This window comes from Homo sapiens, chromosome 4 (genome assembly GCF_000001405.40).
Source record: "Homo sapiens chromosome 4, GRCh38.p14 Primary Assembly".
Classification (NCBI taxonomy): Eukaryota; Metazoa; Chordata; class Mammalia; order Primates; family Hominidae; genus Homo; species Homo sapiens.
In genome coordinates, this window is record NC_000004.12 from 84,515,200 (window position 1) to 84,536,862 (window position 21,663).

General features: G+C 39.3%; 1 long non-coding RNA gene across 6 annotated transcripts in view; it reads right to left on the reverse strand.

Annotated features, from left to right (window-relative positions):
• Positions 1-11,620: 11,620 nt before the first annotated feature.
• The window catches only part of LOC102723338 (uncharacterized), a 55,402-nt gene continuing 45,359 nt past the window's right edge, over positions 11,621-21,663 (reverse strand). For 2 of the 6 annotated variants that reach the window (XR_007058460.1, XR_007058457.1), the window contains 3 exons: positions 20,716-20,810; positions 14,829-14,916; positions 11,621-13,066 (listed from right to left, as the gene is read on the reverse strand). This is a non-coding gene — a long non-coding RNA (uncharacterized LOC102723338). Of the gene's footprint in view, positions 13,067-14,828; positions 14,917-17,666; positions 17,724-20,715; positions 20,811-21,663 lie in introns of all 6 variants that reach the window. The other 4 variants (XR_007058456.1, XR_007058459.1, XR_007058458.1 and 1 more) reach the window with 3 other exon arrangements.

Genomic DNA, 21,663 nt, shown 5'->3' on the forward strand with positions numbered 1-21,663 from the left:
ATGCCACAATTACTTGAAATATAGTATGCTTCCACACAGCTATATTTTTCTAACTAGTATTTTCCTTTAACAAAGATAAGATATAGTTCATATCATGTTACTCACTTTAATGTCATAAAGTTAGGCTTAGAATAAATTAGTTCTACAAATGGAATTTTAAGTAAGAGTAAAAGCATTGTAGGAAAAAAGAAGCACAGCAAGGTTCCTGAACCCATGGAACAAAATTTAATAAAGGCTAGTGTACATAACAGCAGGCAGGACAAACATAATAGCATGGATCAGGGAGGCCCAGACACAGCCAAAATGGACCGGCAGACATGAACCACCAAGAGAACCTGGGGCCTGCCTTGCAGCCACAGAGCTGAGGGATCTTGAGCAGAAGGAACAAGGTGGAGTCACCCAGATGCATCTTCCCCATGTATAAGTGGGAGGGAAAACCACTTTAAATCTTCCTTTGAACTTTTGCTTTATCCCAACTCCACATTCTCAGCTTTAGGAATTTTAATGATGACATTTCACATTGCAACCGAGCATACACACACACATATGTATAGAGCTGGTATATTCTAGTGTTTTCTATTCTGTTATATCCTATTTCATCCTTTTAAAATTCTGGTTAAGTCACATGCTATGTGTTAAATTGTGTCCCCACCCAAATCTTACAGGTTGAAGTCCTAACACCCTATACATTAGAAGGCAGCTTTATTTGGTGATTGTCTTTTTTCAGAAGTAATCAAGTTAAAATGAGGTCATTAGGGTGAGCCCTAATCCAGTATGACTGGTATCCTTATAAATAGGTGAAACTTGAACACAGTGGTGTGCAAGAAGGATAATGCTGTGAAGAGACATAGGACAAGACAGCCATCTGCAAGCCAAGGAGATAAGTCTAGAATGGATCTTTCCCTCACAGCCCTCAGAAGGAAGCAACCTTGCAGACACCTTGATTTCAGACTTCTAACCTCCCAAACTGTGAGAGACAATACATGTCTGTTGTTTAAGCCACCCAGTTTGTGACTAGCAAACTAAGACCTAACAAACTAATATAGAACACTAAACTGATTTCATGACTCATTAATGGGCCTTGAAGAGCAGTTTGGGAAAAATGAATCCAGTCCCACTGGGCTCTCCAACATCCTTTGTTCTTTGAGCATGTGCTTGAATACTTGCAGTGACAGAGAACTTACTACCTCCCAAGGCAGGGGATTTCATCTCTGGGGATCTCCAGTACAGCTAAAATCTGATGCCTGTAACTTTGTCCCACTTCTCAATTTCCACCCCTAGGAGTCATATACAGAAGTCCAACTCCTCCTCATCATCATCATGACTTTCAACCTGGCATTTTGTATTCTAGTGCTACCATATGTGTCCTCACTGTCTACCATAAGTGCTCTGCTGTCTTCCCATTGTTTTCCATTCATCCCTTGAACAGGTACAAACCCATTTCTTCACCCTCATGCTGACCTCTCCTCCAAAGTGAGATCACCTGCCCCTCCTGCCAGCTAAATCCCAGCCCACCCTCACTCCTCACCTTCAAAAATCTTTTTTTTTTCTTTTGAGACAGAGTCTTGCTCTGTCGCCCAGGCTGTTGGAGTACAATGGCGCAATCTCAGCTCACTGCAACCTCCACCACCAGGTCCAAATAATTCTTCTGCCTCAGCCTCCTGAGTATCTGGGATTACAGGTGTGCTCTACAACACCTGGCTAATTTTGGTATTTTTAGTAGAGATGGGGTTTCACCAGGTCAGCCAGGCTGGTCTTGAACTCCTGACCTTAGGTGATCCACCCGCCTCAGCCTCCCAAAGTGTTGGGATTACAGGCATGAGCCACCGCACCTGGCCCACAAATCATTTTCTGATCCTGCCAACACAGATCAATGTCTTCCTTTGTGAACATCTAAAGCACTGTGCTAAATAATAATTTAAAACTGGTTCATAGGTTCATATTTATTATCATTTAGGAAAACTGACTTTTGACAATATCTACTGAATTTTTCATTTCATATGGGGAGCTTGATGAAGCAGCAGCTTCAAGTGGTAAATCCTTGGTTGACATGTCTGAGTTAGTATCTTTGTAACTACCTTCTAACCTTTTTCTTTTATTCAAACCAGATTTTTCCCAAAGTATTTTTCTGACCTACCTTCTCTGACCAGAGGTAAGTAAAAGCTCTGAATCAACAACTGGGGAAATAATTATGGACTCTTGCAAATCTGAAAGTGGCCTGCTGAAAGAATTTTGTAGACCCCTAACGCCTCTCTTCCCATCTGTTCTTTCCCCTCCCCTCTCTTTATCCTTATTCTAGCCACTATCTGGCATGATCCTGCTACTTTTATGGTTTTAACCACCAATGATATTCTGATGATGCTCTCATATTCTTCTCCAGCCCAGACCTCTTTGTGGAGCTCTACCCCCAACCTGTCTGGTACCTGAGCTCACAGACCCCTCAAACTCTACATGTCCAAAATGGAACCCATCATCTTCCTACCTTCCCCAGTAGCTCCCACCTTAGGGAATGACCTCATCATCTGCCCATCTGCCCAAGCTGGAAACATGGATATAACTCTAACACCTCTCTCACAGTCAATCACAAACTACTGTGGGTTTTACCTTCTTTCTATTTCTCAGATTCACTTCTTTCATTTTGAACCCTGGGCATTGCCTAATTCAAGCTCTTGTTACTCCTTGCTTAGGTTAACGCATCACCTCCAGTTGGTCTCTTGGCTTCTGTCTTCCTCCACGCGATCCATTTCCCCTGCAGTTTGAGTGATATTTCCCAAATGTTAAATGATTATATCATTTTTGTATCAGTCAGGAACCATCCAGGAAAAAAATGACTCTGAAAAGCAAATGGAACTAAATACTGAAAATAGATTACACAGGTGATGGAAGAGCTTGGAAGCGAAAGAGAGGATGGAGAGGCAGCCCAGGGAATAGCAACAGCAGCAGAGCCACTACCAGCCCAAGGGTAGAGGAACAAAGGGAAGTGGGATTATTACTGAAGGCCTGAGTCTGGGATCACCCAGCAGAAGTGGGACCCTATCCAGAGATGGGGTCCCAGGAGAGATATAGTTGCAGCTGGTATTGCTGCCTGACGTGGAAAGTCGGGGTGCGGTGGTGGTGGGGGACCCCTTGATTTCTGCTTTCCCGTCACCATGCAACTTCCCAGTTATATCCCCCTTTGGCCAAACCCAGCCAGATGCCAGTAGATACTAGAACCTGAGAAATGTAGCCTTCAGAAACCAAACAGAGCAGTACAGGGGAAGAACTACAAAAGGATCTGGGGCACAAAGGCCCAGAATTAGGTGACTTCTCCTCTAGAAATTTTACAGTGTTCCCCTAAAGCCTTTGGCACAAAGTCCAATTGCTTGCTATGGAGGACAAGACTATGCACTCTTGCTGTGGCTCCTGCTTGTCTGTAGGGTCACCTTTTACCTGGCGTACCGACCCTGCACTATCCTCACACTAAGCTCATGCTCCCACCTGGCTCTCTACCAGCAGTTACATGCCAACTCTCTCTCACTGCTGTGCCTTGACACATGCTACTCTCTAAACTAGAATCCACTCCCCACCTTTCCTCAGTTTCACACACACAGCTCCTACCCCAACACCAGTCAAGCAGCAGTGCACTCGTCAGCTGTGGAGAAGCCTTCTGGAACCTCTCACTCCATGAGCTCCCCGGTCTGAATGGGAGCCCTTCTATGGGTTTCCACAGCACCCTGTGTTCATCTTCCACATTGAATTATCCTCTTATTACTGAAATTGTCAGCTTTCTGCTCTTCCTCATTAGAATGTAAACTCCTTAAAGATAAGAAGAGTATCTTATTCACCTTCTCACTTACAATGCTAAGCATAGTGCTTAGTGCATCTAGTAAACACTTGCTGAGTAAATGCATAAATTTGGTTTTAAGGAGAGTTAAACTTCACTCAGGATGGCAGGGCCAGTTCTACTTAAGACTTATAACTTTGTTTTTTAACCACAAACTTATTTTTAAAATTTACTCGAAATATTTTTCATGTCAGAAAAGGTTTTTGTTTGTTTGTTGTTTTCCTTTCTGGAAACCAGGGAATCCCTACCATAGATTTTTGGGATATGATTTTAAGACTGAAAACCATCTAAAAATAAGAGGTGTGAAAGCTAAGAGGTAAGCAGCATTTTAATGCCCTCCAAACTATTTAAGGGTAATAACTTTTTAAACAATTATTTAATTTAACAAATAATAATTTTTAATTCTCATGCATGTTCCAATTCATAATAAAGCAGTGGTTTTCAAAAAGTGGTCCATGGAAACTTGGGTATCCCAAGGTCAAAACTATTTTTATAATAATGCTAGGACATTTTTTTCCTTTTACACTGTCCTGACATATACATTTATGGCACAAAAGCAATGGTAGTGCTATTATCTTAAAATGAACTTTGGTAATGACACTAACTGTACTAGTAGTCACTGTGTCCTTTACCACCACATACTTGTAGAAAAAAAAGATGAAAGTTTTACTTTAAAATATCCTTTATGAAGCAGTGAAAATTACTACTCTTGGCCGGGCACGGTGGCTCATGCCTGTAATCCCAGCACTTTGGGAGGCTGAGGCAGGTGGATCACAAGGTCAGGAGATTGAGACCATCCTGGCTAACATGGTGAAACCCTGTCTCTACTAAAAATACAAAAAAACTTAGCCGGGCGTGGTGGTGGGCGCCTGTAGTCCCAGCTACTCAGGAGGCTGAGGCAGGAGAATGGTGTGAACCCGGGAGGCAGAGCTTACTGTGAGCCAAGATCGCGCCACTGCACTCCAGCCTGGGTGACAGAGTGAGACTCCATCTCAAAAAAGAAAAAAAAATTATTACTCTTATTAAATATTGACTCTTGAGTAAATATCTTTTTAGTATTTGGTATGATGAAATTGGAAGTATACGTATTATAAAACAAAACACTTCTGTTGCCTACTAAAGTGTGATGGTTGCCTTTAATAAAGCTTCTTTGTGGTTCAGTTGCAAGTGAACTGGCCACTTATTCCAAAAAATATCATTTTTACTTGAAAGAACAACTGACAAACAGACTTGGATATTAAGCAGGTATTTTCTTAAATATAAACAAAGTAAGCCTCTCACTTTAAAAAGCACCTGGCAATATTTGTTGCTAATTGTGAAATGCACAGTTTCAAGCAAAATTTTTGAATACTCTTATTTGCCATCATGAACTTGACCACTTCCCAATATTTAGGAACTTTTCTAATGAGATTGGTGGTCAGAAAAATTATTTCTCTGAATGAATTACCCCATACTTCATGGCTTAAAACAACACAAATTATTTATCTCGTAGTTGTATAAGTTAGAAGTATGAAACAGGTCCCACTGGGCTAAAATCAAGTTGTCAGCAGGGCTGTGTGCCTCCTGGCCGAGAAGAATCAGTGCTGAGAGAAACTCTGTTTCCTTGCCTTTTCTAGCTGCTGGAGGCCACCTGCATTCCTTGGCTCATGGTCCCTTCCTCCATCTTCAAAGCCAGCAACATAGCATCTCTCAGAGCTCTGCTTCTGACATCACATCTTCCTCCTCTGAGCCTTTCTTTCAACTCCTTCTTCCACTTTTAAAGATCCTTGTAATTACATTGTGCAACCCTGGATAATGCAGGATAATCTCCTTAATTTAAGGTCAGCTCATTAGCAAACTTAATTCCATCTGCAACCTTAACTCCCCTTTGCCATGGAACCTAACATAGTCACATACTCTGTGGATTATCATATGGATATCCTTGGGGTAACCATTATTCTGCCTATAACAGGTGAGGATATTAACACATGTGATTTTTAAAAATGTTTCAAAATGAAATGTGTCAACATTTGGAACATCTGCATAACTTAGTAAGCCAGCATTTTCTAAATGACCAATGTTTGATGTTCAAAATCACAGGTGGGTAGAAGATTCATTCAAAATGCAAGACAGGTGGGTTTAATGTAACAGAGTACAAAAATTTCATAAATATGGTTTCAGATTCCAAATTTGTAACTAACCTTTTAGAAATGAATGCTTATTGAGTTTTGATGTAGCATCAAAGAAGAATATACACAATTATCTGAAAAGGCCATGAAAATATTCATACTTTTCCAATTACATATCTGTGTAAATCTAGATTTTCTTCATGTGATTCAACTAAAACAACAATATATTGCAACAGATTGAATGCAAAAGCAGATATGAGAATCTGTCTTCTATAAAACCAGATGTTAAAGATATTTACAAAAACATCAACAATACCACTCACTGTATTTTTTAAAACCATAGTTATCCTTCATAAAAATATGCTTTCCTTGTTAACATGTAATAGGTTTTTTGCTGTTACTTTTTAAAAAAATCAATACTTTTTTAAATTTTAAGCTCTCAGTTTTAATTTCTAGTGTATATACTGATAGTTATAACTCACATAACAAAAGTTTTTTGGGGTCCTCAATAATTGTTAAGAATGAAAAGATATCCTGAGACCAAAATATTTGAGAGCTGCTATGCTAGAGTAGCAATTCCTTCAGAGAGAGAGAGATGAATATGAGCTCGTTAAATTCATATTCCACTTACTGCAGATCTTACTCATCCCTCAGCCTATATTGGCCCTTATAATGATCATGACTTATTTCTACAAGGGTCATACTGGGCTGCCAAGAGGCAAGTCTACCAGCTGAAAAAAAAGGAAACCCTACCATTTGATTAAGGCAGCAGAGGTATAAAATAGAGCAGCTCTGTCCACAAAGGATAGTAAGGGAATGAGAAAGAGCAAGGAGGAGTTTGCGTGACCTCCCATCTGTCCACAAGGCAGTAGGTGTAGGAACCCAGAGGAGGCCACACCTAATGCCCTGCCTTCTTCCAGCTTTTTTGGAAGCAAAGGTAGAGCATTAAATGTGCAATTAGACCATGGCTGGAGCTCTGCTAAGGGAATGTTTCCCTAAATGAAAGCTTATGGTATATGCAATGTGTTGTGCTCATAAAGATCAGAAGAAGGTTGGTTTAAGACACCTGGCTTTTTATTGAATACCATTCTGTACAAAGAATCTGACAGGTACTTTCACATTTATCTTGGTATTTTAGTAATGCATTCTCACATCTAAGAACATAGATGTCCTCTATTGCAAATGCCTTTCTTATTGTCTGTGGAACCAAGTAGCTACGCAGCCTGGGACAGCTCCTTAACCTCTCCCAACTCCAGATTCCCATCTGTCACCTGTGAATAGTAATGCCTACCCATGAAGATTGTTATGAGGCTCAAGAAATAACAATAATGTATATGAAAAGGCTTTTTGATAAACTCAATTGTTTTGTAGAAATAACAGAGCCAAGGAGGAACTTGGTAAGGTGACTTTATTTCTCTCTCCCATTTTCATCATTTCCACCCTCAATTTAGCCCAGATACAACCAAAGTAAAATCATAGTTCTTGCTATAAAAATGAAGACTTAATGTGGGGTTTCTTACTCCTCTTCCAACCAAACTGTTACTACCAAGCCCCTTCTACATATAAAAATTCTATATGTTTCTCTGTTTTATGTTTTATTTATTACTACTTAGCAATATGATATTTATACAAGAAGAATTTGAAATGTTCAGTGACTAAGTTGTGCAATCAATTACTCATTCAATAAAGATTTACATATCCACTAAGTGTCAGGCTGTGAACTAGGCAGTGGAGATACAGTAAAAAAAATAAAATAAAATAGAATACAAACAAAAATCCCTGCCTACACAGAGCTTGTATTTTAATGGGTAGGGGAATAGGGAGTGAGATGATAAATACTATGTCAAAAGGTGAGATGACTATAGGGAAAGAAGCAGGAAGGAGATACGGGGTGCTGGATATTGGTGACGGCGTGAAGGGTGCGATTTTAAATGATGTAGTGAAGGCAAGAGTTTACTATTACAATGTCATTCAAGTGAGGGCCTCATGCAATTATTGTGGAGAAGATGGCTCAAGGCAGAGAAGACACCAAGTGCAAAGGTCCTGGGCTCTGGTGTGTTCACAGGCTAGCAAAGAAGCCAGGGTACCTGGGGAGGGTAAGGAGGGGCAGAGAGGTAGGAAATGAGTAGGAAGGGACAGTATGGAGAGGTGGTGGGCAGGAGTCAGGGACTTCCCATCTCACTAGGGGGAGGTTTTGAGCAGAGGACTGAGTTATGTGAGTTAAGTGTTAAAAGAAACCCACAGCCAATATCATACTGAATGGGCAAAAACTGGAAGCATTCCCTTTGAAAACTGGCACAAGACAGGGATGCCCTCTCTCACCACTCCTACTCAACATAGTGTTGGAAGTTCTGGCCAGGGCAATCAGGCAGGAGAAGGAAATAAAGGGCATTCAATTAGGAAAAGAGGAAGTCAAATTGTCCCTGTTTGCAGATGACATGATTGTATATCTAGAAAACCCGATCGTCTCAGGCCAAAATCTCCTTAAGCTGATAGGCAACTTCAGCAAAGTCTCAGGATACAAAATCAATGTGCAAAAATCACAAGCATTCTTATACACCAATAGCAGACAAACAGAGAGCCAAATCATGAGTGAACTCCCATTCACAATTGCTTCAAAGAGAATAAAATACCTAGGAATCCAACTTACAAGGGATGTGAAGGACCTCTTCAAGGAGAACTACAAACCACTGCTCAAGGAAATAAAAGAGGATACAAACAAATGGAAGAACATTCCATGCTCATGGGTAGGAAGAATCAATATCGTGAAAATGGCCATACTGCCCAAGGTAATTTATAGATTCAATGCCATCCCCATCAAGCTACCAATGACTTTCTTCACAGAATTGGAAAAAAACTACTTTAAAGTTCATATGGAACCAAAAAAGAGCCCGCATCGCCAAGTCAATCCTAAGCCAAAAGAACAAAGCTGGAGGCATCATGCTACCTGACTTCAAACTATACTACAAGCCTACAGTAACCAAAACAGCATGGTACTGATACCAAAATAGAGATATAGATCAATGGAACAGAACAGAGCCCTCAGAAATAATGCCGCGTATCTACAACGATCTGATCTTTGACAAACCTGACAAAAACAAGCAATGGGGAAAGGATTCCTTGTTTAATAAATGGTGCTGGGAAAACTGGCTAGCCATATGTGGAAAGCTGAAACTGGATCCCTTCCTTACACCTTATACAAAAATTAATTCAAGATGGATTAAAGACTTACATGTCAGACCTAAAACCATAAAAATCCTAGAAGAAAACCTACGCAATACCATTCAGGACATAGGCATGGGCAAGGACTTCATGTCTAAAACACCAAAAGCAATGGCAACAAAAGCCAAAATTGACAAATGGGATCTAATTAAACTAAAGAGCTTCTGCACAGCAAAAGAAACCACCATCAGAGTGAACAGGCAACCTACAGAATGGGAGAAAATTTTTGCAATCTACTCATCTGACAAAGGGCTAATATCCAGAATCTACAATGAACTCAAACAAGTTTACAAGAAAAAAACAAACAACCCCATCAAAAAGTGGGCAAAGGATATAAACAGACACTTCTCAAAAGAAGACATTTATGCAGCCAAAAAACATGTGAAAAAATGCTCATCATCACTGGCCATCAGAGAAATGCAAATCAGAACCTCAATGAGATACCATCTCACACCAGTTGGAATGGCGATCATTAAAAAGTCAGGAAACAACAGGTGCTGGAGAGGATGTGGAGAAATAGGAACACTTTTACACTGTTGGTGGGACTGTAAACTAGTTCAACCATTTTGGAAGTCGGTGTGGCAATTCTTCAGGGATCTAGAACTAGAAATACCATTTGACCCAGCCATCCCATTACTGCATATATACCCAAAGGATTATAAATCATGCTGCTATAAAGACACATGCACACGTATGTTTATTGTGGCACTATTCACAATAGCAAAGACTTGGAACCAACCCAAACATCCATCAATGATAGACTGGATTAAGAAAATGTGGCACATATACACCATGGAATACTATGCAGCCATAAAAAATGATGAGTTCATGTCCTTTCTAGGGACATGGATGAAGCTGGAAACCATCATTCTCAGCAAACTATCGCAAGGACAAAAAACCAAACACCGCATGTTCTCACTCATAGATGGGAATTGAACAATGAGAACACATGGACACAGGAAGGGGAACATCACACTCTGGGGACTGTTGTGGGTTGGGGGGAGGGTGGAGGGATAGCATTAGGAGATATACCTAATGCTAAATGACGAGTTAATGGGTGCAGCACACCAACATGGCACATGTATACATATGTAACAAACCTGCACGTTGTGCACGTGTACCCTAAAACTTAAAGTATAATAATTTAAAAAAAAAAAAAAAAAAGAACCACTTTGGCTGTTGTATGGAGAATAGACTGCTGAGCCGCAAAGACAAAGAAAGACCAGGCTGGGCATGGTGGCTCACGCCTGTAATCCCAGCACTTTGGGAGGCCGAGGCGGGTGGATCACCTGAGATCAGGAATTCAAGACTAGTCTGGCCAACATGGTGAAACCCCGTCTTAACTAAACATACAGAAAAAAGATTAGCTGGGCATGGTGGCGGATGACTGTAATCCTGGCTACTTCAGGAGGCTGAGGCAAGAGACTCACTTGAACCTGGGAGGCAGAGGTTGCAGTGGGCTAAGATCACACCATTGCATTCCAGCCTGGGCGACAAGAGCAAAACTCTGTCTCAGAAAAAAAAAAAGAAAGAAAGAAAGAAAAGAAAGATAGAAAGACCAACTGGGAGGCTTTTGAAACAATACAGTAGAGAAAGCAGGGTGATCACAATGGAGACAGTGAGAGATAGAGTCTAGATATATTTTTATGGTAAAAACAACAGGATTTGTGCAAAGGTCGAATGTGGGTTATAAAAAGGAGGGAGGATGACTTTAAGGATTTGGCCTGAACAACAGGAATTGTGCAGCAGCCATTCACTTAGATGAGGTGGACTGCAGGGAGGCCAACAGGGTTTGGGGTGGTTAGAAAGACTAATAATTCAATTTTAGACATGTTAATTTTGAGATGCCTTTTTGACATCCAAAAGGCCACGGGGGTCGTTTCATATAAGAGCCTGAAATTCACAGGAAGGGGTCTGGGCTGGGTATAAATTTGAGAACATCTGCTTTTGTATAATATTTAGAGCTGGGTTGAGATTAAATGGTATTAGCAAGATACTAAGCATAGATAGGGAAAAGAAGGATTTCAAAGACTGGAACCTGAGCCTTAAATCAAGAATATAAGGAAGAATCAGCAAAAAACACTAGAAAGAGTTTCCAGTGAAGGAGAAGAAAAACCAGGAGAATACCATTATCTGAGAGTAAAGTGAAAAAGTGTATCAGAAAGCATGGGGTGATCAGCCATGTCAAATGCTGCGGGTCGGTCATGTCAGATGGATGAATTGACACTCAGATTTTGCAAAAAGAACATCATTAACAACCTTGACAAGAACAGGGTGGTGGTGGTGGTGGCAAAAGCCCTCATGAAGTCAAAGAAAGAATATGGGAAAGAATTCAAGAAACAATATGAGGAAAGGAACTGGAGACAGCCAGTATAGACAACCCTTTTGAGGAGTTTTGCCGTTAAAAAAAAAAAAAAAAAAAACAGAAAAATAAAGAGGGAAAAGGGGAATGTGAAGTCAAAAAGTATCATTTTTCTGGATTTTTTTAATGGAGACATTTTTAAGACATTTACAGACATGGACTATATTAGTAATTCTGTATATGCAAATAAACAAAGAGCCAAGGAGGGATATAGATGTATTTTGTCCTTAATTTATCTATTCATGAACGTGGTTAGAAACTGTACGATAAAAGAAAAAAAAGGAAACCAAGCCTTACAAAGAGACTGATGCCTTATCCCCTGACATGCAGCTAAGAAGCAGATCTTACTTGGCTTCAGACTTCGAGCACAAATGAACCCAAATGGATTCAACTTTACTGAACTATGTATCGTTTATTTTGTTACTGAAATAAGAATATCAGGCAACTGGAAATCAATGAATTGATTTAAATATTGTGCAAAAGATGGAGCTATTACTATGGGCACATTTTTATGATTTAAAAATCACATTTCAGCATTTTCCCTATGTCGGGGCTATGACAGGGCAGCATTGATTAACACATTCAGACCCAATCATCAAGAAAAAGACTTGGAACTGCACATTTCCCTTGTAAAAGATGCCTTCTTAGGTCCATACCAAGTTCAAAGTTATTAAATAATGACAGTTGGGTTTGGGAGTTTTTTTGGTGTGTGATTTGTTTTTAACTTTTTATTATGAAAAATTTCAAATCTATGCAAAAGTAGAATAGAATATGACCTTACCCCCATATATATATAGGACCCAGCTTCAACAATTACCAACTCATAACTAAGCTTATTTCATCTCTCTCCCCACCCACTTCTCTCTCCCTAAGCACCAGACTATTTTGAAACAAATCACAGACATTGCATAATTTCATCTATAATTATTTCAGTGTGCATGTCTAAAAAAGAAGGACTCTTTTAAAAAATCACATTATCATTTTCACACATAAAAATTAGAATAGTCCATTAGTTCCATCAAATATTCTTCAGGGTTCACATTTTCTTATTTATGTTCTATAAATATGTTTTTACATGTACTGTAGTTTTGTTTGAATCAGAATACTAACAAGTCCTATGCACAAACACGTCATTTCTGAAAGGGACAAGTGGATAAATTTAAAAGAGTTTTGGTTTTACAAGCAAATTACCAGAAGCACTTTAGTGTTACAATATATAGTATAAAACCAATTTTGATTGAAATGGGAACAGTGCATTTTAAAATATAATTTAATAGGTTTAAATGAATGTTCCAAATACTAAAGCACACTACACTTTCTCAAAAATAAAAAGGGAGATGATTTGGGGCTGCCAATTACAAATACATTCACAACTGACATGAACGTTTTCAGTTGAAAATATAAAATCTTCTTAAAATATATATTTCTTCTGTTGGTTGACTTGGCTTTGTGTTGCAAACTATGGTTCATCTGTTCTTCCAGTTGCACTAGTACCGCCAGGCTAAACATTCTTCAGCTCAGTCCAATCCTAAGCAATTACTCCCTTACCACCTAAAAAAAAAAAAGAACCAAACCAAAAAAAAAAAAATCAATTACATGCTTGTTAGAAATTTTTGCATACATAAATTATAACTCTGATTCTGGGTGCTAGGAAAACTTTGGCTGAAGCAAACAAGGAACACCTAAAAGTTAAGCAAATAGCTACCTTAAACCAATTTACTGCTTTTTACCATCAGCATCACAGAGTGTCAGAACTAAAAAGAGGCTTTGCACTCCAAACCCCTCCTAACAGAGGTGAGCCAAGAGAGGCTGAACGACTTGCCTGGCATCATGCAGCAAGAAGGGAGGTTCCCGAACCCAGACTATCCTACGACCAGACTAGATGCTTTCCCCTGCTGTTATGTCATACCCAAATTGCTAGATTACATCTGATTCAAAGCTACTGCTTTTCTGTTAAAGCTCCTGTCCTTCTGGTGGAGCAAGATTTGGGAGAACGGCAGTCATCCCTCCATATACATGGGGGATTGTTTCTAGGACCCCTGCATATACCAAAATCCTAGCACACTCAAGTCGCAAAATGGGCCCAGCGGAATTTGCGGAAAAAGTCAGCCCTCCATGTGTGCAGGTTTCACATCCAGCAATTACTGTATCTTGAGTCTGCACTTGGTTGAAAAAAATCTTTGTATAAGTGAACCCACACAATTTAAACCTGTGTTATTCAAAGGTCAACTGTGCTTTTACATTTCATTTCTCTTTATTTCACTTTCTACAGTCGCTTCAGAAAATGTTGTCAACTATTTTAAATGGCTGGTTCTTCTTTCACTATTTAATGTGTTTAATAGACTTTATTCACTATATACCCCTACTGATTAAGTTGGCTCTTACAATTTTTATACAATCCTTTTGGCCAAGACAAAATGAGACTTTAGTGCAGTTTTCAAAATTTAGTAAGCATTTGTTCTCACCAGATTATATTAATCTTTATCTTTTCAAACAGTCAGCTTTCATATTTATAGTATGCATGAAAGTACACCATAATACTTACCAATTTTCACTTCACAGCAAAGGTAGATTATGAATAAACTATGAAGTTTGCAAAAAGGCAGTATATTGAAAAGGAGCACCACATAATTTGTTATAATAGCTCCCCCTAGTGAGCATTCTCACTATTGTTTCCTGAACACCTTTTAGGGTTATTAATTCCAATACTTGGTTTTGTTACCTAGAAATTTTCTATCATGGCTGTAAACAAAAGTTATGTCACCAAATGGTCATTTCAGCCCCAGATATACTCACAAAAATTAACCCTATCAGCAGAATGGTTTTCAACTAGAAAAGAATGGTGTTGTTTTTCATTTAACGTAAAATGGGAAAAATGAAAAAGAACATAGAATTCGGCAAATACAATTGATAATAATAACTGTGATTCATTAGCAGTTAATATGTGCCATATATTTTGCTAAGCACTTATATGGGTTGTTTAATGTGATCCTTGTATTACTTTAGGATATTAATACCATTACTAATTTCATGTTACAGATAAAGAAACTAAGTCTGGCCTAAGGACATACAGCTAGCAAGTGACAGAGCTGAAATTTGAATCCAGGTTGTCTGACTCCAGAGTTCACACTCCAAGCCACTATTCTATTCTGTTGATGAAGCCACAAAATTACTTAGGTCCCAAATCTGTTTTTTTTATAATAGCAAATCTGTTTGCCAGATTATTGCATTATTTATCCACTCTGCTTATATCACAGAAAGGCCCAAAGTCTTCCTGCCCTGGTGTTGCAATTCCTCTTTTCTGCATACTCACCTCTGTCTGTAGCTGCCACCCAGTTCAGAAGTAGTGGTAACCAATTCCAGAGTTGAGGCAAGAGGGATACAAGATGTGCCTAAAACAGCTTAAGTCAGAAAGTGAGAAAGTACTCAAAAAAAAAAAAAAAAAAAAAAAAAGGAGCGAGTCACAAAGACACAGGTGCCCAGATTGAAGAGACTTCTCCTGGCCAAACCTATGACAATTTGAGCACTAGCATGATTAATTATAAATCATTGAAAAATTAAGAACTCATAAGTTCATACTAACATTAGATAGATAGGTGAGAGAGAGAGAGACATAAGAAGAAGGGAGGGCTCTTGCTGACAGGGAGGGCTCTTCCTGAGGGCAGACTGGTAAATGTGGAGGGAATGCAGGGATTTAAAAATAATCATTTTGCAATCATAGTGAGATTGGATAAGGCAAGAAACATTAATAGATTCCAAATCTAGAGAGAAATTCTGATGAGGAATCAGATATTTGCATGATCTTAAGATATCTTCCCACCTATCACTTCTTAGTTGGAAGGGGGAAAAATAAAATAGTAATTATACAGTGGAGAAATAAGACAACCCTTTGATCTGGTGGCCTCATGTAACATCACTAACAAGAAACAGATGGGCATCACGTGCCTGCAGATGTGAAGCCTTGAGATGAGCATGTCACACATGTACTGTTCTTATCAAGAATGTGTAATCTGACTGCAACCACAAGAAAACAGCAGAAAAACCCAAGTGATGAATATTCTGCTTAGTTAAAGGGGGAAGTATAATCTTGAAAACTGTCAAAATCATAAGACAAAGAAAAGCTATGGAAATAATCCAGATTAAAGGAGCTAAACAAACGTGACAACTAAATGCATTATTTGTTTCCAGGCTTAATTACACACTGGAGGGGTAAAAATGCTAGAAAGAGCTGTTAGGTCAACTGACAAAACTGAAATATGAACAGTAGATTATACAAAACTACTACATCATTGTAAATTCACTGAACTTGATCACTGTGCTGGGGTTAAGTAAGATAATATCTCTATTCCTATAAAATATACACTGAAGGCCAGGAGTGGTGACTCACCCCTGTAATCCCAGCACTTCATGAGGCCAAGGTGGGAGGATCACTTGAGGCCAGGAGTTTAAGATCAGCTTAGGCAAAGCTGAGGCTGGAGGATCACATAAGCCCAGGAGTTTGAGGCTGCAGTGAGCTATGGTCATACCACTGCACTCCAGGCTGGGCAACAGAGCAAGACCTTGTCTGAAAAAATATAAAATAAAATAAAATAGAAAATATACACTGAAGTATCTAGGGGGAAATCATCAGGTAATTAACTATCAATGGTTCGAAAAAGATGTGTGTGTGTGTGTTTGTGTGTGTGTATGGTTTAAGGCTATGGAGTTTCAATTTTGCAAGATGCAAAGAGTTCTGTGGATAGACAATGGTGGCACAACAATGTGAATGTACTTCATACTACTGAACAGTACCCTTAAAAGTAGTTCAGATGGTAACCGTATTTTACCACAATTTAAGAGAGAGAGAGAGCGAGCATGCAAATGATAAAATTCATGGGGCATACTGCTAATAGATGAATTTGGGTAAAGAACATTTGAATGTTTTCTGTACTATTTTTATTTTTTCAATTTTTATGCAAGTTTAAAATTGTTTCCAAATAAAGTTTTCTATGTAAATAAAGTAGAAATTCCTCCCATGGCAGAGCAGCTCCACCCGCCTCCTGGTACAGCCTCCTAGGTGAGTGGCAGGAGAGGGGCCTGGAAGCAGCCACCTGCTCTCAACCCTCTCACTCCGCATGACCTGTTCATTCACCCTTTCTTTCAAATGCCTCTAGGGTTAGATGACCAAACTGATCCTCACCAGATTTATCCCCACAGACTACATTCTTTTAATGAATTGACTGGCTCCCTGGGGCAGGATAAACTCAGGAAATGAGGGTGAGGTAAAGGGCACTGGACCAGGAGACAGAGTCTGCATGTCTCATCCTGATTCTGCAGATTAGCTGTGTGGCTTGGGCAACTCATTACCTCTGGAGGTGAACACTCTGATCTAGAATTTTTCTTTTTGTTGTTGTTGTTTTATTGTTGTTGTTGTGATCATGCCACTGCACTCTAGTCTGGGTGCAGAGTGAGTCTGGGTGTAGGATGCAGAGAGACCCTGTCTCACTCTGCCACCCAGACTAGAGTGCAGTGGCATGATCACAGCTCACTGCAGCCTTGACCTTCTGGACTCAACTGATACTCCCACCTCAGCCTCCCAAGTAGCAGGGACTACAGCTGCATGCAACAAAACTCAGCTAATTTATTTTTTATAGAGACAGGGTCTCCCTGTGTTGCCCAGCCTGGTCTCGAACTCTTGGGCTCAAGTGATCCTCCCGCTTTGGCCTCCTGAAGTGCTGGGATTACAGACGAGAGCCACTGCACTGGGCCTCAGAAATTTTTAAAGGTCCCTTGCAGCATTATAATTTTATATCTTACATTCACCACTCCTGAGAACAGAGTCACCAATTAAGCACTAGGTAATATGACTCTAATGATATGGCTAAAAATATTGAAACATTCCACATGTTAATTTTTCCTCCTGCTACTTAGCTTTTGGCAATATGTTGTTACGTTGCGTTCTAGGAATACTAGAGGTAAGGGTTTGTGTGTGTAGAGAAAGACAGAAAGAAGAGGAAGGAGGAAGAGAAAGAAGGGAAAACAGAATGGTATTCTATCGGAATGAACAACACTTACAACTGATAACATTTTAAAATCTATAGCATCGACTCACAACTTAAAGTAAAGCCTTTCATTTTCTAAATTGCTTTGCAGTTTTAAAGTAATTTCTTACCTGTTTTATCATTTTATCTTCCAAAGAACTCTGAGACAGTCAGGACAGACAACATTTCTATTTTAAAGATAAGAAAACTGATTTGGAGAAGGCAAATGACCGCCAGCTAATTTGTGGTGGTTCACCAATTAGAATCCCAGCTTTTTGACCCTGTACTGATGCTCTTCCCAATTTAAAAACCTATAAAATGTCTTTTCAACATCATACTGAATGGGCAAGAGCTGGAAGCATTCCTCTTGAAAACCAGCACAAAACAAAGATGTCCTCTCTCACCACCTCTATTCAACATAGCATTGGAAGTCCTAGCTGGAGCATCAGGCAAGAGAATGAAATAAAAGGCACCCAAATAGAAAGAGAGGAAGTCAAACTATCCCTGTTTGCAGATGACATGATTCTATATCTAGAAAACCCCATAGTCTTGGCCAAATAGCTCCTTAAGCTGATAAACAACTTCAGCAAAGTTTCAGGATACAAAATCAAAATACAAAAATCACTAGCATTCCTATATACCAACAACAGCCAAGCTGAGAGCCAAATCAGAAAGGCAATCCCATTCACAATTGCCACAAAAAGAATAAAATACCTAGGAATACAGCTAACCAGGCAAGTGAAAGATTGCTACAACGAGAATCTCAAAACACTGCTCAAAGAAATCAGAGAAGACACAAACAAATGGAAAAAATCCCATGCTCATGGATAGGAAGAATCAATATTATTAAAATGGCCAAACTGCTCAAAGTAATTTATAGATTCAATGCTATTCCTATTCAACTACAAATGACATTTTTCACAGAACTAGAAAAAACTATTTTAAAGTTCATATGGATTCAAAAAAGAACCTGAGTAGCCAGCGCAATCCTAAGCAAAGAGAGCAAAGCTGGAGGCATCATGTTACCTGATTTCAAACTATATCACAGGGCTACAGTAACCAAAACAGCATGGTACTGGTACAGAAATAGACACATAGTCCCATGAAACAAAATAGTGTCCAGAAATAAGGTCCACCTATGACCATCTGATTTTCAAAAAAGCTGACAAAAACAAGCAATGAGGAAAAGACTCCCTTTTAAATAAATGGTGCTGGGATAACTGGCTAGCCTTACGCAGAGTATTGAAGTTGGGCCCCTTCTTTATGCCATATGTAAAAATCAACTCAAGATGGATTAAAGACTTAAATGTAAAACCTAAAACTATAAAAACCCTGGAAGATCCTGGAAGGGAATACCACTCTGGACACAGGAACGGGCAAAGATTTCACGACAAAGATGCCAAAAGCAACGACAACAAAAGCAAAAATTGGCAAATGAGATCTAATTAAACTAAAGAGCTTCTGCACAGCAAAAGAAACTGTCAACAGAGTAAACAGACAACCTATAGAATGGAAGAAAATTTTTGCAAAATATGCATCTGACAAAGGTCTGATACCCAACATCTACAGGGAACTTAAACAAATTTACAAAAAGAGAAACAAGAAATCCCATTTAAAAGGGGGCAAGGGACGTGAACAGACACTTTTCGAAAGAAGACATACATTCAGCCCACAAACATATGAAAAACAGACCAGTATCACTGATCATTAGAGAAATGCAAATCAAAACCACACTGAGATACCATATCATTAGTCAGAATGGCTATTAATTAAAAGTCAAGGCCAGGCGCAGTGGCTCATGCCTGTAATCCCATCACTTTGGGAGGCCAAGGCAGGTGGATCACCAGGTTAGGAGTTCAAGACTAGACTGGCCAAGATGGTGAAACCCTGTCTCTACTAAAAAAAAAAAAAAAATAGCCAAAGGTGGTGGTGGTGCCTGTAATCCCAGCTACTTGGGAGACTGAGGCAGGAGAATCGCTTGAACCTGGGAGGCGGGGGTTGCAGTGAGCCGAGATCGTGCCACTGCACTCCTGGCTGGGCGACAGAGTAAGACTCCGTCTCAAAAAAAAAAAAAAAAAAAGTCAAAAAGTAACAGGTGCTGGTGAGGTTGCTTGTGGATAAAAGGAAACACTTATTCACTGTTGGTGGGAGTGTAAATTAGTTCAATCATTGTGAAAAGCAGTATGGTGATTCCTCAAAGAGCTAAAAGCAGAACTACCATTCAACCCAGCAATCCCATTACTGGGCATATATCCAGAGGACTATAAATCATTCTACCATAAAGATACATGCACATGTATGTTCATTGCAGCACTATTCACAATAACAAAGACATGAAATCAACCTAAATGCCCATCAATGGCAGACTGGATAAAGAAAATGTGGTCCATATACACTGTGGAATACTATGCAGCCATTAAAAAAAGATAAGATCATGTCTTTTGCAGGAAGATGAATGGAGCTAGAGTCCATTATCCTTAGCAAACTAATGCAGGAACAGAAAACCAAATACCGCATGTTCTCACTTATTAGTGGGAGCTAAATGATGAGCACTCATGAACATAAAGAAGGGAACAACAAACACTGGGATCTACCTGAGAGTGGAAGGTGGAGGGTGGGAGGAGAGAGAGGAGAAGACAAAATAACTGTTGGGTACTAGGCTTAATACCCGGGTGATAAAATAATCTGTACAACAAACCCACACGACATGAGTTTACCTAAAGCTTCACATGTACCCCAAAACCTAAAATAAAAGTTAAAAAATAAAATGTCTTCTACAAAACAACAGGCTGCATGCTTCAAAAAGTCACAGTCATGAAAAGCAAAGAAAAGCTGAGAAACCCTTGTAAAGAAAACTAAAGAAGCACAAAAAGTAAATTGAGTATGTAATTGTAGCTTGGATTTTGGATTACAAAGAAACACATTGCTTTTGCAAAAGACATTTCTAGAACAATTGCCAAAATTTCAATTTGGACTGTATTAGATAGTATTGTATCCATATTCGATTTTCTGAATTTGATAATTGCAACATGGTTATATAAGAAATTGTCCTTGTTCTCAGGAGACAGACACTGAAGTAGTTAGGGATAAAATGTTATAATATCTGTAACCTTCTTTCAGTTGGTTGAGGGAAAAAAAGTGACAAGAAGAATAAAAAACAAGCTCAGCGCAGTGGCTCACACTTGTAATCGCAGCCCTTTGGAAGGATGAGATGAGAAGATCCCTTGAGCCCAGGAGTTTGAGGCCAGCCTGCACAACATAGTGAGACCAACTACCTACAAAGAAGATTAAAATTTTAAAAATTAGAAAAATATTAGCCAGGTGTGATTACAAACACCTGTAGTCCTAGTTACTCAGGAATCTGAGGTGGGAGGATTGCTTAAGCCCAGAAGGTCAAGGGTGCAGTGAGCTATGAGTGTTCAAATGCACTCCAGCCTGGGCAACACAGTGAGACCCAGTTTCTAAAAACAAACAAACAAAAGGGTGAAAAACATTATGTGTATTAATATACTAGAACTATATATGATATAAAGAGAGAAAGAGATGTGGCAAATGTGGAAAAATCTCGGTGAAAGGTATTTACATGTTAATTGTTATATTCTTGTAATTTTTCTGAGGTCTGGAAGTTTTTCAAGATTAGAAGTTTAGGCTCTGTGTGATGGCTCATGCCTGTAATCCCAGCACTCTGGGAGTCCGAGGTGGGCAGATTGCTTGAGCTCAGGAGTTCGAGACCAGCCTGGGCAAAATGGTGAAATCCCATCTCTACCAAAAATACAAAAAAATTATTCAGGCATGGTGGCGTGTGCCTGTGGTTCTAGCTACTCAGGAAGCTTAGGTGGGAGACTCTCTTGAGCCTGGGAGGTGGAGGTTGCAGTGAGCCAAGATTGCACCACTGCACTCCAGATAGGGTGACAGGGTGAGACCTCTTCTTGAAAAAAAGTTTAATAAAATAAATAGTTAAGAAAGCATCTGAAATGAAAACTCCCTAAGGAGTGTCATATTGTGCTTTCTAATATTTTTATTACTATAATAATAGTATGTCATGTTGCTGTTTGCATGATTTTTATGACTACTATATACTATCATCTCATATGTCATTACTGAGAAATAGGATAATTCACAGAAGTG